The sequence below is a fragment of the Homo sapiens genome, chromosome 20 (genome assembly GCF_000001405.40).
Source record: "Homo sapiens chromosome 20, GRCh38.p14 Primary Assembly".
NCBI lineage: Eukaryota > Metazoa > Chordata > Mammalia > Primates > Hominidae > Homo > Homo sapiens.
Window position 1 is genome coordinate 25710763 of NC_000020.11, and position 15724 is coordinate 25726486.

The following is a 15724-nucleotide window of genomic DNA, read 5'->3' on the forward strand; positions in this document are numbered from 1 at the left end:
ATTGATTCTGTTTATGTGATGGATTATGTTTATTGATTTACATATGTTGAGCCAGCCTCGCATCCTGGGGATGAAGCCGACCTGATTGTGGTGGATAAGCTTTTTGATGTGCTGCTGGATTCAGTTTGCCAGTATTTTATTGAGAATTTTCACATTGGTGTTCATCAGGGATATTGGTCTAAAATTCTCTTTTTTTTTGTCGTGTCTTTGCCAGGCTTTGGTATCAGGATGATGCTGGCCTCATATAATGAGTTAAGGAGGATTCTCTCTTTTTTTGTTTGGAATAGTTTCAGAAGGAATGGTACCAGCTCCTTTTTGTACCTGTGGTAGAATTCGGCTGTGAATCCCTCTGGTCCTGGACTTGTTTTGGTTGGTAGGATATTAATTATTGCCTCAATTTTAGAGCCTGTTAATTGGTCTATTCAGAGATTCAACTTCTTCCTGGTTTAGTCGTGGGAGGATGTATGTGTTCAGAAATTTATCCATTTCTTCTACATTTTCTAGTTTATTTGCATAGAGGTGTTTATAGTTTTCTCTGATGGTAGTTTGTATTTCTGTGGTATTGGTGGTGATATCCCCTTTATCATTTTTTATTGCATCTATTTGATTCTTCTCTCTTTTCTTCTTTATTAGTCTTGCTAGCAGTCTACCAGTTTTGTTGATCTTTTCAAAAACCAGCTCCTGGATTCATTGACTTTTTGAAGGGTTTTTTTTTTGTTTTTTTTTGTTTTTTTGGTCTCTCTTTCAGTTCTGCTCTGATATTAGTTATTTCTTTTCTGCTAGCTTTTGAATTTGTTTGCTCTTTCTTCTCTAGTTCTTTTAATACTGACATTAGGGTGTGGATTTTAGATCTTTCCTGCTTTCTCTTCTGGACATTTAGTGCTATAAATTTCCCTCTACACACTGCTTTGAATGTGTCCCATAGATTCTGATACATTGTGTCCTTGTTCTCATTGGTTTCAAAGAACATCTTTATTTCTGCCTTCATTTTGCTATTTACCCAGTAGTCATTCAGGAGCAGGTTGTTCAGTTTGCATGTAGTTGTGCAGTTTTGAGTGAGTTTCTTAATGCTGAGCTCTAATTTGATTGCACTGTGGTCTTAGAGACAGTTTGTTCTGATTTCTTTTCTTTTACATTTGCTGAGAAGTGCTTTACTTTCAACTATGTGGTCAATTTTGGAATAAGTGCAATGTGGTGCTGAGAAGAATGTATATTCTGTTTATTTGGGGTGGAGAGTTCTGTAGATGTCTATTAGGTCCGCTTGGTGCAGAGCTGAGTTCAAGTCCTGGATATCCTTCTTAACCTTCTGTCTCATTGATCTAATACTGATGGTGGTGTGTTAAAGTCTCCCATTATTATTGTGTGGGAGTCTAAGTCTCTTTTTAGGTCTCTAAGGACTTGCTTTATGAATCTGATTGCTCCTGTATTGAGTGCATATATATTTAGGATAGTTAGCTCTTTTTGATGCATTGATCCTTTTATCATTATGTAATGGCCTTCTTTGTCAATGGCCTTCTGTGTCTCTTCTGATCTTTGTTGGTTTAACGTCTGTTTTATCAGAGAGTAGGATTCCAACCCCTGGTTTTTTTGCTTTCCATTTGCTTGGTAGGTCTTCCTCCTTCTCTTTATTTTGAGCCTATATGTGTCTCTGCACAAGAGATGGGTCTCCTGAATACAGCACACTGATGGTTCTTGACTCTACCCAATTTGCCAGTCTGTGTCTTTTAATTGGAGTATTTAGTCCATTTACATTTAAGGTTAATATTGTTATGTGTGAATTTGATCATGTCATTATGATGTTAGCTGGTTATTTTGCTCATTAGTTGATGCAGTTTCTTCCTAGTATCAATGGTCTTTACAATTTGGCATGTTTTTGCAGTGGTTGGTACTGTTTGTTCCTTTCCATGTTTCGTGCTTCCTTCAGGAGCCCTTGTAAGGCAGGCCTGGTGGTGACAAAATCTCTCAGCATTTGCTTGGCTGTAAAGGATTTTATTTCTCCTTCACTTATGAAGCTTAGTTTGGCTGGATATGAAATTCTGGGTTGAAAATTCTTTTCTTTAAGAATGTTGAATATTGGCCCCACTCTCTTCTGGCTTGTAGAGTTTCTGTGGAGAGATCCACTGTTAGTCTGATGGGCTTCCTTTTGTGGGTAACCCTACATTTTTCTGTGGCTGCCCCAACATTTTTTCCTTCATTTCAACCTTGGTGAATCTGATAATTATACATCTTGGGGTTGCTGTTCTCAAAGAGTATCTGTCGTGTTCTCTGTATTTCCTGAATTTGAATGTCGGCCTGCCTTGCTAGATTGGGGAAGTTCTCCTGGATAATATCGTGCAGAGTGTTTTCCAGCTTGGTTCCATTATCCCTGTCACTTTCAGATACACCAATCTAACGTAGATTTGGTCTTTTCACATAGTCCCATATTTCTTGGAGGCTTTGTTCGTTTCTTTTTACTTTTTTCTCTAAACTTCTCCTCTTGCTTTATTTCATTAATTTGATCTTCAATCACTGATACCCTTTCTTCCACTTGATTGAGTTGGCTATTGAAGCTTGTGCATGCATCACGTAGTTCTTGTGCCATGGTGTTCAGCTCTATCAGGTCATTTAATGTCTTCTCTACACTGTTTAATCTAGTTAGCCATTCATCTAATCTTTTTTTCAATGTTTTTAGCTTCCTTGCAATGGGTTCCAACATCCTCCTTTAGCTTGGAGAAGTTTGTTATTACCGACCTTCTGAAGTCTACTTCTGCCAGCTTGTCAAATTCATTCTCCATCCAGTTTTGTTCCGTTGCTGGTAAGGATCTGCGATCCTTTGGAGGAGAAGAGGTGGTCTGGTTTTTAGAATTTTCAGCTTTTCTGCCATGGTTTCTCCCCATCTTTCTGGTTTTTTAAAATTATTATTATTATACCTTAAGTTTTAGGGTACATGTGCACAATGTGCAGGTTAGTTAACATATGTATACATGTGCCATGCTGGTGTGCTGCACCCATTAACTCATCATTTAGCATTAGGTATATCTCCTAATGCTATCCCTTCCCCCTCCCCCCACACCACAACAGTCCCCAGAGTGTGATGTTCCCCTTCCTGTGTCCATGTGTTCTCATTGTTCAATTCCCACCTATGAGTGAGAATATGCTGTGTTTGGTTTTTTGTTCTTGCGATAGTTTACTGAGAATGATGATTTCCAATTTCATCCATGTCCCTACAAAGGACATGAACTCATCATTTTTTATGTCTGCATAGTATTCCATGGTGTATATGTGCCACATTTTCTTAATCCAGTCTATCATTGTTGGACATTTGGGTTGGTTCCAAGTCTTTGCTATTGTGAATAGTGCCACAATAAACATACGTATGCATGTGTCTTTATAGCAGCATGATTTATAGTCCTTTGGGTATATACCCAGTAATGGGACAGCTGGGTCAAATGGTATTTCTAGTTCTAAATCTCTGAGGAATTGCCACATTGACTTCCACAATGGTTGAACTAGTTTACAGTCCCAACAACAGTGTAAAAGTGTTCTTATTTCTCCACATCCTCTCCAGCACCTGTTGTTTCCTGACTTTTTAATGATTGCCATTGTAACTGGTGTGAGATGGTATCTCATTGTGGTTTTGATTTGCATTTCTCTGATGGCCAGTGATGGTGAGCATTTTTTCATGTGTTTTTTGGCTGCATAAATGTCTTCTTTTGAGAAGTGTCTGTTCATGTCCTTCGCCCACTTTTTGATGGGGTTGTTTGTTTTTTTCTTGTAAATTTGATTGAGTTCATTGTAGATTCTGGATATTAGCCCTTTGTCAGATGAGTAGGCTGCAAAAATTTTCTCCCATTTTGTAGGTTGCCTGTTCACTCTGATGGTAGTTTCTGTTGCTGTGCAGAAGCTCTTTAGTTTAATTATATCCCATTTGTCAATTTTGTCTTTTGTTGCCATTGCTTTTGGTGTTTTAGACATGAAGTCCTTTCCCAAGCCTATGTCCTGAATGGTAATGCCTAGGTTTTCTTCTAGGGTTTTTATGGTTTTAAGTCTAACATTTAAGTCTTTAATCCATCTTGAATTAATTTTTGTATAAGGTGTAAGGAAGGGATCCAATTTCGGCTTTCTACATATGGCTAGCCAGTTTCCCCAGCACCATTTATTAAATAGGGAATCCTTTCCCCATGGCTTGTTTTTCTCAGGTTTGTCAAAGATCAGATAGTTGTAGATATGCGGCGTCATTTCTGAGGGCTCTGTTCTGTTCCATTGATCTATATCTCTGTTTTGATACCCCAGTACCATGTTGTTTTGGTTACTGTAGCCTTGTAGTATAGTGTGAAGTCAGGTAGTGTGATGCCTCCAGCTTTGTTCTTTTGGCTTAGGACTGACTTGGCGTTGCGGGCTCTTTTTTGGTTCCATATGAACTTTAAAGTAGTTTTTTCCAATTCTGTGAAGAAAGTCATTGGTAGCTTGATGGGGATGGCATTGAATCTATAAATTACCTTGGGCAGTATGGCCATTTTCACGATATTGATTCTTCCTACCCGTGAGCATGGAATGTTCTTCCATTTGTTTGTATCCTCGTTTATTTCATTGAGCAGTGGTTTGTAGTTCTCCTTGAAGAGGTCCTTCACGTCCCTTGTAAGTTGGATTCCTAGGTATTTTATTCTCTTTGAAGCAATTGTGAATGGGAGTTCACTCATGATTTGGCTGTTTGTCTGTTATTGGTGTATAAGAATGCTTGTGATTTTTGTACATTGATTTTGTATCCTGAGACCTTGCTGAAGTTGCCTGTCAGCTTGAGGAGATTTTGGGCTGAGACAATGGGGTTTTCTAGATATACAATCATGTCATCTGCAAACAGGGACAATTTGGCTTCCTCTTTTCCTAATTGAATACCCTTTATTTCCTTCTCCTGCCTAATTGCCCTGGCCAGAACTTCCAACACTATGTTGAATAGGAGTGGTGAGAGAGGGCATCCCTGTCTTGTGCCAGTTTTCAAAGTGAATGCTTCCAGTTTTTGCCCATTGAGTATGATATTGGCTGTGGGTTTGTCATAGGTAGCTCTTATTATTTTGAGATACGTCCCATCAATACCTAATTTATTGAGAGTTTTTAGCAAGAAGGGTTGTTGAATTTTGTCAAAGGCCTTTACTGCATCTATTGAGATAATCATGTGGTTTTTGTCTTTGGTTCTGTTTATATGCTGGATTACATTTATTGATTTGCGTATATTGAACCAACCTTGCATCCCAGGGATGAAGCCCACTTGATCATGGTGGATAAGCTTTTTAATGTGCTGCTGGGTTCGGTTTGCCAGTATTTTATTGAGGATTTTTGCATCAATGTTCATCAAGGATATTGGTCTAAAATTCTCTTTTTTGGTTGTGTCTCTGCCCGGCTTTGGTATCAGGATGATCCTGGCCTCATAAAATGAGTTAGGGAGGATTCCCTCTTTTTCTATTGATTGGAATAGTTTCAGAAGGAATGGTACCAGTTCCTCCTTGTACCTCTGGTAGAATTCAGCTGTGAATCCATCTGGTCCTGGACTCTGTTAGGTTGGTAAGCTATTGATTGTTGCCACAATTTCAGCTCCTGTTATTGGTCTATTCAGAGATTGAATTTCTTCCTGGTTTAGTCTTCGGAGGGTGTATGTGTCGAGGAATATATCCATTTCTTCTAGATTTTCTAGTTTATTTTCATAGAGGTGTTTGTAATGTTCTCTGATGGTAGTTTGTATTTCTGTGGGATCAGTGGTGATATCCCCTTTATCGTTTTTTATTGCGTCTATTTGATTCTTCTCTCTTTTCTTCTTTATTAGTCTTGCTAGTGGTCTATCAATTTTGTTGATCCTTTCGAAAAACCAGCTCCTGGATTCATTAATTTTTTGAAGGGTTGTTTGTGTCTCTATTTCCTGCAGTTCTGCTCTGATTTTAGTTATTTCTTGCCTTCTGCTAGCTTTTGAATGTGTTTGCTCTTGCTTTTCTAGTTCTTTTAATTGTGATGTTAGGGTGTCAATTTTGGATCTTTCCTGCTTTCTCTTGTGGGTATTTAGTGCTATAAATTTCCCTCTACACACTGCTTTGAATGTGTCCCAGAGATTCTGGTATGTTGTGTCTTTGTTCTCGTTGGTTTCAAAGAACATCTTTATTTCTGCCTTCATTTTGTTATGTACCCAGTAGTAATTCAGGAGCAGGTTGTTCAGTTTCCATGTAGTTGAGTGGTTTTGAGTGGGTTTCTTAATCGTGAGTTCTAGTTTGATTGCACTGTGGTCTGAGAGACAGTTTGTTATAATTTCTGTTCTTTTACATTTGCTGAGGAGAGCTTTACTTCCCAGTATGTGGTCAATTTTGGAATAGGTGTGGTGTGGTGCTGAAAGAAATGTGTATTTTGTTGATTTGGGGTGGAGAGTTCTGTAGATGTCCATTAGGTCTGCTTGGTGCAGAGCTGAGTTCAATTCCTGGGTATCCTTCTTAACTTTCTGTCTCGTTGATCTGTCTAATGTTGACAGTGGGGTGTTAAAGTCTCCCATTATTATTGTGTGGGAGTCTAAGTCTCTTTGTAGGTCACTCAGGACTTGCTTTATGAATCTGGGTGCTCCTGTATTGGGTGCATATATATTTAGGATAGTTAGCTCTTCTTGTTGATTTGATCCCTTTACCACTATGCAATGGCCTTCTTTGTCTCTTTTGTTCTTTGTTGGTTTAAAGTCTGTTTTATCAGAGACTAGGATTGCAACCCTGCCTTTTTTTGTTTTCCATTTGCTTGGTAGATCTTCCTCCATCCTTTTGTTTTGAGCCTATCTGTGTCTCTGCACGTGAGATGGGTTTCATGAATACAGCACACTGATGGGTCTTGACTCTTTATCCAATTTGCCAGTCTGTGTCTTTTATTTGGAGCATTTATTCCATTTACATTTAAAGTTAATATTGCTTTGTGTGAATTTGATCCTGTCATTATGATGTTAGCTGGTTATTTTGCTCGTTAGTTAATGCAGTTTCTTCCTAGCCTTGATGGTCTTTACAATTTGGCATGATTTTGCAGTGGCTGTTACCGGTTGTTCCTTTCCATGTTTAGTGCTTCCTTCAGGAGCTCTTTTAGGGCAGGCCTGGTGGTGACAAAATCTCTCAACATTTGCTTTTCTGTAAAGTATTTTATTTCTCCTTCACTTATGAAGCTTAGTTTGGCTGGATATGAAATTCTGGGTTGAAAATTCTTTTCTTTAAGAATGTTGAATGTTGGCCCTCACTGTCTTCTGGCTTGTTGAGTTTCTGTGAAGGGATCAGCAGTTAGTCTCATGGGCTTCCCTTTGTGGGTATCCCGACCTTTCTCTCTGGCTTCCCTTAACATTTTTTCCTTCATTTCAACTTTGGTGAACCTGACAATTATGTGTCTTGGAGTTGCTCTTCTCGAGGAGTATCTTTGTGGTATTCTCTGTATTTCCTGAATCTGAATGCTGGCTTGCCTTGCTAGATTGGGTAAGTTCTCCTGGATAATATCCTGCAGAGCGTTTTCCAACTTGGTTCCATTCTCCCCATCACTTTCAGGTACACCAGTCAGATGTAGATTTGGTCTTTTCACATAGTCCCATATTTCTTGGAGGCTTTATTCATTTCTTTTTATTGTTTTTTCTCTAAACTTCCCTTCTCGCTTCATTTCATTCATTTCATCTTCCATCACTGATACCCTTTCTTCCATTTGATTGCATCGGCTCCTGAGGCTTCTGCATTCTTCACGTAGTTCTTGAGCCTTGGCTTTCAGCATCTTCAGCTCCTTTAAGCACTTCTCTGTATTGGTTATTCTAGTTATACATTCGTCTTAATTTTTTTCAAAGTTTTTAACTTCTTTGCCTTTGGTTTGAATTTCCTCCTGTAGCTCAGAGTAGTTTTGTCATCTGAAGCTTTCTTCTCTCAACTCATCAAAGTCATTCTCCGTCCAGCTTTGTTTCATTGCTGGTGAGGAACTGCATTCCTTTGGAGGAGGAGAGGTGCTCTGCTTTTTAGAGTTTCCAGTTTTTCCAATTTTTCTGCTCTGTTTTTTCCCCATCTTTGTGGTTTTATCTGCTTTTGGTCTTTGATGATGGTGATGTACAGATGGGTTTTTGATGTGGATGTCCTTTCTGTTTGTTAGTTTTCCTTCTGACAGACAGGACCCTCAGCTGCAGGTCTGTTGGAGTTTGCTAGAAGTCCACTCCAGACCTTGTTTGCCTGGGTACCAGCAGCGGTGGCTGCAGAATAGCAGATTTTCGTGAACCGTGAATGCTGCTGTCTGATCTTTCCTCTGGAAGTTTTGTCTCAGAGGAGTACCCGGCCGTGTGAGGTGTCAGTCTGCCCCTACTGGGGGTGTCTCCCAGTTAGGCTGCTCGGGGGTCAGGGTTCAGGGACCCACTTGAGGAGTCAGTCTGCCCGTTCTCAGATCTCCAGCTGTGTGCTGGGAGAACCACTGCTCTCTTCAAAGCTGTCAGACAGGGACATTTAAGTCTGCAGAGGTTCCTGCTGTCTTTTTGTTTGTCTGTGCCCTGCCCCCAGAGGTGGAGCCTACAGAGGCAGGCAGGCCTCCTTGAGCTGTGGTGGGCTCCACCCAGTTCGAGTTTCCTGGCTGCTTTGTTTGCCTAAGCAAGCCTGGGCAATGGCAGGCGCTCCTCCCCCAGCCTCACTGTCGCCTTGCAGTTTGATCTCAGACTGCTGTGCTAGCAATCAGCGAGACTCCATGGGCATAGGACCCTCCAAGCCAGGTGTGGGATATAATCTTCTGTTGTGCCGTTTTTTAAGCCTGTCCGAAAAGTGCAGCATTAGGGTGGGAGTGACCCAATTTTCCAGATGCCATCTGTCACCCCTTTCTTTGACTAGGAAAGGGAACTCCTTGACCCTTTGCGCTTCCCAAGTGAGGCAATGCCTCGCCCTGCTTCAGCTCGTGCACGGTGCACTGCACCCATTGTCCTGTGCCCACTCTCTGGCACTCCCTAGTGAGATGAACCCGGTACCTCAGATGGAAATGCAGAAATCACCCATCTTCTGCATCGCTCACGTTGGGAGCTGTAGACCAGAGCTGTTCCTGTTCAGTCATCTTGGCTCCATCCATCCCAAAGACCCATTTTTCTTGTTTTATCTACCTTTGGTCTTTGATGCTGGTGACCAACAGATGGGGTTTTGCTGTGGATGTCCCTTTTGTTGATGTTGATGCTATTCCTTTCTGTTTGTCAGTTTTCCTTCTAAGAGTCAGGTCCCTCAGCTGCAGGTCTGTTGGAGTTTGCTGGAGGTCCACTCCAGACCCTCTTTGCCTGGATATCACTAGGAGAGGCTGCAGCACAGCAAATATTGCAGAACAGCAAATGTTGCTGCCTGATCCTTCCTCTGGAAGCTTCATCCCAGAGGGGCACCCTCCTGTATGATGTGTCAGTTGGCCCCTACTGGGAGGTGTCTCCCAGTTTGGCTACATGCGTGTCAGGGACCCACTTGAGGAGGCAGTCTATCCATTCTCAGAGCTCAAACACCATGCTGGGAGAACCACTTCTCTCTTCAGAGCTGTCAGACAGGGATATTTAAGTCTGCAGAAGTTTCTGCTGTCTTTTGTTTAGCTATTCCCCACCCCCAGAGGTGGGGTCTACAGAGGCAGCAGGCCTTGCAGAGCTGCGGTGGGCTCTGCCCCGTTCAAGCTTCCCAGGCCACTTTGTTTACCTACTCACGCCTGAGCAATGGCGGACACCTCTCCCACTGCCAGACTGCTGCCTCACAGGTCGATCTCAGACTGCTGCTGTAGCAGTGAGCAAGGCTCTGTGGGTGTGGGTCCTGCCAAGCCAGGTGCGAGATATAATCTCTGGGTGTGCCATTTGCTAAGACTGTAGGTAAAGCACAGTATTTGTGTGAGGGTGTCCGGATTTTCTAGGTTCAGTCTGACTTGGCTTCCCTTGGCTGGGAAAGGGAAATCCCCTGACCCCTTGCACTTCCCAGGTAAGGTGATGCACCACCCTGCTTTGGCTCACCCTCCATGGGCTGCATCCACTGTCCAACCAGTCCCAGTAAGATGAACCAGGTACCTCAGTTGGAAATGCAGAAATTGCCATCTTCTGCATTGATCATGCTGGGAGCTGCAGACGGGAGCTGTTCCTATTCGGCTGTCTTGGAGCAGAATCCTGGCTTATGTTTTTTTTTCAATGGGAGCCTCCAATCACCATAAAAGATTATGTACCTTACATAGTTGTACTTGTTATACTTTTTAATTTTTATTTTTCATTTCTTTAGTAGGTACAAGTGCAGATTTCTTACATGCATATATTGCATACTGTTGGGTAGACTGGGCTTTTAGTGTACCCGTCACCTTAATAGTGATCACTGTACCCAATAGGTAAATTTTCAACCATCACCTCTCTCCCACCCTCCTATCTTTTGTAGTCTCCAATGCGTATTATTTCACTCTGTATGTCCATATGTATCAATTGTTTAGCTCTCATTTACAAGTGATGGCATGCAGTATTTGACTTTCTGTTTCTGAGTTTTTCACTTAAGATAATGGGCTTCAATACCATCAGTGTTGCTGCAAAAGACATGATTTTATGGCTGAGTAGTATTTTCTATATCCAGTTCTCCGCTGATGGACATGTATGTTTATTTCTTTTTTTGCAATTGTGAATAGGTCTGTGATAAACATGAGTGCAGGTATATTTTTGATATACTGATTTCTTTTCCTTTGGGTATATACCCAGTAATGGAATTGGATCAAATGGTAGTTCTGTTATTAGTTCTTTGAGAAATCTCCTTATTGTTTTCCGTAGAGGTTGTACTTATTTACATTTCTACCAACAGTATATAAGCATTACCTTTTCTTCACATCCTCATCAACATCTGTTTTGTTTTTTTTGACTTTTTAGTAATAGCCATTCTGACTGGTATAAGATTGTATTTTACTATTTTAATTTTTATTTCTCTGATGATTAGAAATATTGAGCATTTTTCATGTTTGTTGACTGCTTGTAGGTACTCTTTTGAAAAATGTCTGTTTGTATCCTTTGCCCGCTTTTTAATGGGGTTGTTTCTTGTTGTTTTGTTGTTAGAGTTCCTTGTAGATTCTGGATGTAAGCGCTTTGTTGGATGCATAGTTTGCAAATATATTTTCCCACTTTATAGGTTGTCTGTTTACTTTATTAATTATTTCTTTTGCTGTGCAGAAACTTTTTAGTTAAATTATCTCGTCTGTTTATTTTTATTGCATTTGCTTTTGAGGACTTGGTCATTAATTCTTTGCCTAGACCAATGTCTGGAAGGGTTTTTCCTAAGTTTTCTTCTAGGATTTCTGTGGTTTCAGGTCTTACACTTTGGTCTTTGATCCATATTGAGTTTATTTTTGTATATTTTGAGAGGTATGGGTCCAGTTTTATTATCCCATATGTGTTTATCCAATTTTACTGGCACCACTTATTTATAGGGTGTCATTTCCCCAGAATATATTTTTGTTGACTTTTTAAAAGATAAGTTGGTTGTAGGTATGGGGCTTTATTTCTGAGTTGTCTATTCTGCTCCATTGATCTATGTGTCTATGTTATGCCAGTACAATGCTGTTTTGGTTTCTATAGTTTTGTAGTATAATTTGAAAACAGGTAATGTGATGCCTCCAGCTTTGTTCTTCTTCCTTAGAATTGCTTTGGCTGTTCAGGCCCTTTTTTTGGTTCCATATTAATTTTAGGATTTTTTTTTCTAATTCTGTGAAAAATAACATTGGTAATTTGATAGGGATTGTGTTGAATCTGTAGTTTGCCTTGAACAGTATGGTCATTTTAATGATATTGCATATTCTAATTTATAAGCGTGGGGGTTTTTCATTTGTTTATGTCATCTAGGATTTTTTTCATCAGTGTTTTGTAGTTCTCCTTCTAGAAGTCTTTCAGCTTCTAGGTCAAAGATATTCCTCGGTATTTTTTTGTAGCTATTGTAAATGGGATTGTTTTCTTGATTTGGCCTTTGGCTGGCTCATTATTTGTGTATATAAACACTACTGATATTTGTACATTAATTTTGTATCCTGACGCTCACTGCTTCCTTTGTCAAATTTAAGAATTTTGGGCAGCATCTTTAGGGTTCTTCAGGAATAATATTATATCATCAGCAAACAGGGGTAACTTGACTTCCTCTTTTCCAATTTGGATGCATTTTATTTCTTTCTTCTGCCTGATTGCTCTGGCAAGAAATTCCAGTACTGTGTTGAATAAGAATAGTGAAAGTCGGCATCCTTGTATTGTTCTAGTTCTTACAGGAAATGCTTTCAACTTTCCCATATTAGATATGATGTTGTTGGGTACACATGGACACAAAGATGGGAAGAGTAGACATGGGACACTCTAAATTAGGGGAGGAAGGATGGGGAACAAGGGTTGGGAGATTACTTATTGGGTACTATGTTTGCTACTTGGGCAACAGATCATTAGAAGCCCAAACCTCAGCATCAGAAAATATACCCATATAAAAAACCTGCACAGGTACCCCTGAATCTAAAATTTTAAAAAACGAGATAGAATTATGAGATTAGGTAATGCATATTTTAGCCTTAGGATTGAGGTCTTTGCAAAAAGTAGGGAAAATGTCTTCTTACTCATTTCCTTATGCACAAAACATGTCCTCAGAAATATTTCTACTAGCATCATTAAATGTATTTTCAAATTTCTCTATTTAGGGCCCTGTGCTAGTTGCTAAGGATGTAGGTAAAACAAGTGAACAAGAAAATCCTGTTTTGAAAGGTCTTCTGATTCTAGTGGGAGAAAGAAAAAGAGTTTGATATTAATCAGCTGCCCTCTTGGAATAAGCAGAAATACTACCACATTCTTATAGATGAATGATACACAGGAGGATCTGAAGGGTTTCTATTTTTTAAAAAGTATGATGTTGGCTGTGGGTTTGTTGTATATAATCTTTATTATGTTGAAGTATATTTCTTCTATGCCTAGTTTGTTGAGGATTTTTATCATGAAGTGATGCTGAGTTTTATTGGATGCCTTTTCTGCATCTGTTGAGATGATCATATGGTTTTTGTTTCTAATTCTGTTGATGTGATATATCACACTTACTGATTTCCATATGTTAAACCATCCTTCCGCCCTTGGGATAAATTACACCTGATCGTGGTGTGGTATCTTTTTGATGTGCTGTTGGATTCCATTTTTTAGTGTTTTGTTGAGGATTCCCTGCTTATCTATGTTTTAGAATAGTTTCAAAAGAATAGGTATTAATTTTTTTTGTATGTTTGGTGTAATTTGGCTGTGAATCCTCCTGATCCTGGGATTTTTTTGTTGAGAGATTTTTTATTACTGATTTCAGTCTCACTACCAATTATTTGTCTCTTTGGGAATCCTCTTTTATCCTGGTTTAATCTTGGGAAATTGTGTGTTTTCGGGAATTTATCCATTTACTCTAGGTTATCTAAGTTGTGAATACTTGTTTGTAATAGTCTTTAGTGACCTTTGTACTTCTGTGGTATCAGTTGTAATGTCTCCTTTGTCATTTCTGATTGTGTTTATTTGCGTCTTTATTTTTTTCTTAGTTAGTCTAGCTAGTGGTTTATCAGTTTTGTATATCTTTTCAAAGAACTAATTTTTTTGTTTCATTGATCCTTTGTATTTTGGGAGGGTTCTATTTTATTTATTTTTGTTCATTTCCTTGTTATTTATTTTCTTCTGCTAACTTTGGGTTTGGTTTGTTCTTTTTCTAGTTCCTTGAGGTGTGACATTAGCTTGTAAATTTGTGGTCCTTCTACTTTTTTGATATAGGCATTTAATGTTAAGACTTCCCTCTTGGCACTGCTATTGCTGTATACCATAGGTTTTGGTTATGTTGTGTTTTTATTTTCACTTGTTTCAAAAAATGTTTAATTTCCATATTAATTTCTTTATTGACCTAGTGACTGTTCAGGAGCATGCTATTTAATTCCCATGTATTTATATAGTTTCCAAGGTTCCTCTTGCTGTTGATTTCTAGCTTTATTCCACTGCAGCCTGAGAAGATACTCGATATGATTTTGATTTTTAAAAATTTAAGACTTGTTTTGTGACCTAACATGTAGTGTATCTTAGAGAATGTTCCCTGTGCTGATGAAAAGAATATATATTGGGTAGAATGTTTTGTAAATGTCTGTTATATCCATTTGGTCTCAAGTCCAATTTAAGACCAACGTTTGTTAATTTTTGTCTTGATGATCTGTCTGGTGCTGTGAGCAGGGTGTTGAATTCTCCCACTATTATTGTATTGCTGTCTCTTTTTTCAGGTCTAGAAATATTGGAATTCTGAATTTGGGTGCTCTGATGTTGGATGTATATGTATTTAGGATTGTTATATCCTCTTGCTAAGTTGATCTCTTTTTCATTATATAATGACCTTTTTTGTCTTTTTTCAAACCATTTTTATTGTACAGTGTTTATCTTGCTTACTGTTGATTTTCATTTGTGTGGAATATCTTTTTCCACCTCTTTATTTTTAGTTTATATGTGTCTTTATGGGTAAGATGAGTGTCTTACAGGCACCATATAGTTGGTTTATGGTTTTTAAAAATTCATTCTGCCAATCTTTATCTTTTAAGCAGAGCATTTATTCTATTTACATTCAAGTTTAACATTGATATATGACATTTTGTTCCTGTTATATTTTTGTTTTCAAGTTATTTTATAACTTTTTTTCTTTATTTTTCTCTGTCTTTGTGGTTTGAGGAAATTCTGTCATGTTGCCATTTTATATTTTTCTCTTGCTCCTTGTGTGATTGTTTTATACAAACTGTGAATTTTATATTTTTGTATATTTTTGTGACTATCAACCTTTTGTTTCCATGCTTAAGACCCTTTTAAGCATTTCCTGTAGGACTAGATTAGTGGTGACAAAGTCTCTTAGCATTTGCTTGTCTAGGGAAAACTTTAATTCTCCTTCATTTATGAAGCTTATCAAAAGGATACAAACTTCTGGCTGACAGTGTTTTTCTTTAAGCACTTTGTAAAGATACCATCTCATTCACTTCTGGCCTGCAAGGTTTCTTTTGGAAAATCTGCTGTTAGTTTGATGCAGTTTCTTTTATAGGTGACTAGATACTTTACTCTTGCTAATTTTAAAATACTTTCACTTTTACTTTAGACATTCTGAATATAATATGCCATGGTGAAGTCCTTTGTGCAACTATTTTCCTGGGTATCACTGGGCCTCCTGTATCTGGATGTCTGACTCTCTTGATAAAGTTGGGAAGTTTTCATTGATTATTTCCTTACATATATTTTCTAAATTTTTGTTCTATCTACATCTGAGGATGATATGGTTTGGATCTGTGTTCCCACTCAAATCTCATGTTGAAGGTGAGGCCCCAATGTTAGAGGTGGGGCCTAGTGGAAAATGATTGGTTCATTGGGGAAGTTTCTCATAAATGGCTTAGTACCATTCCCTTGGTGCTGTTCTTGTAACAGTGAGTGAGTGAGTTACTGTGAAATGTGGTTGATCTAAAGTGTGTAGTGTGCACCTTCCTTGCCTCTTTCTCTTACTCCAGCCATGTGATGTGCCTCACTTCCCCTTTGCTTTCTGCTATGATTGGAGGCTCCTAAAGCCTCCCCAGAAGCAGAAGCCATTATGCTTTCTGTATATCCTGCAGAACTGTGAGCCGATTAAACCTCTTCTCTTTATAAATTATCCAGTCTCAGGTATTTCTTTATAGCAGTCCAAAAATGGACTAATAGATGGTGATCTCAGGAATACTGATAATTCATAAGTTCCATCACTCTGTGTAGTCCCAG

The 15724-nt window shown here is 38.9% G+C and overlaps 1 long non-coding RNA gene across 2 annotated transcripts in view, besides 2 other annotated features; it reads left to right on the forward strand.

Annotated features, from left to right (window-relative positions):
* The window catches only part of LOC107985400 (uncharacterized), a 51102-nt gene that overhangs the window by 13722 nt on the left and 21656 nt on the right, over window positions 1–15724 (forward strand). The window lies entirely within an intron of this gene.
* Window positions 8175–8690: an enhancer, noted in NCBI's record as "NANOG-H3K27ac-H3K4me1 hESC enhancer chr20:25699573-25700088 (GRCh37/hg19 assembly coordinates)". NCBI's record gives its function as "activates a minimal SCP1, AML or CMV promoter by ChIP-STARR-seq in naive and primed H9 embryonic stem cells {active_cell/tissue: H9 hESC(naive and primed)}" and the evidence as "EXISTENCE:reporter gene assay evidence [ECO:0000049][PMID:30033119]".
* Window positions 8691–9206: an enhancer, noted in NCBI's record as "NANOG-H3K27ac-H3K4me1 hESC enhancer chr20:25700089-25700604 (GRCh37/hg19 assembly coordinates)". NCBI's record gives its function as "activates a minimal SCP1, AML or CMV promoter by ChIP-STARR-seq in naive and primed H9 embryonic stem cells {active_cell/tissue: H9 hESC(naive and primed)}" and the evidence as "EXISTENCE:reporter gene assay evidence [ECO:0000049][PMID:30033119]".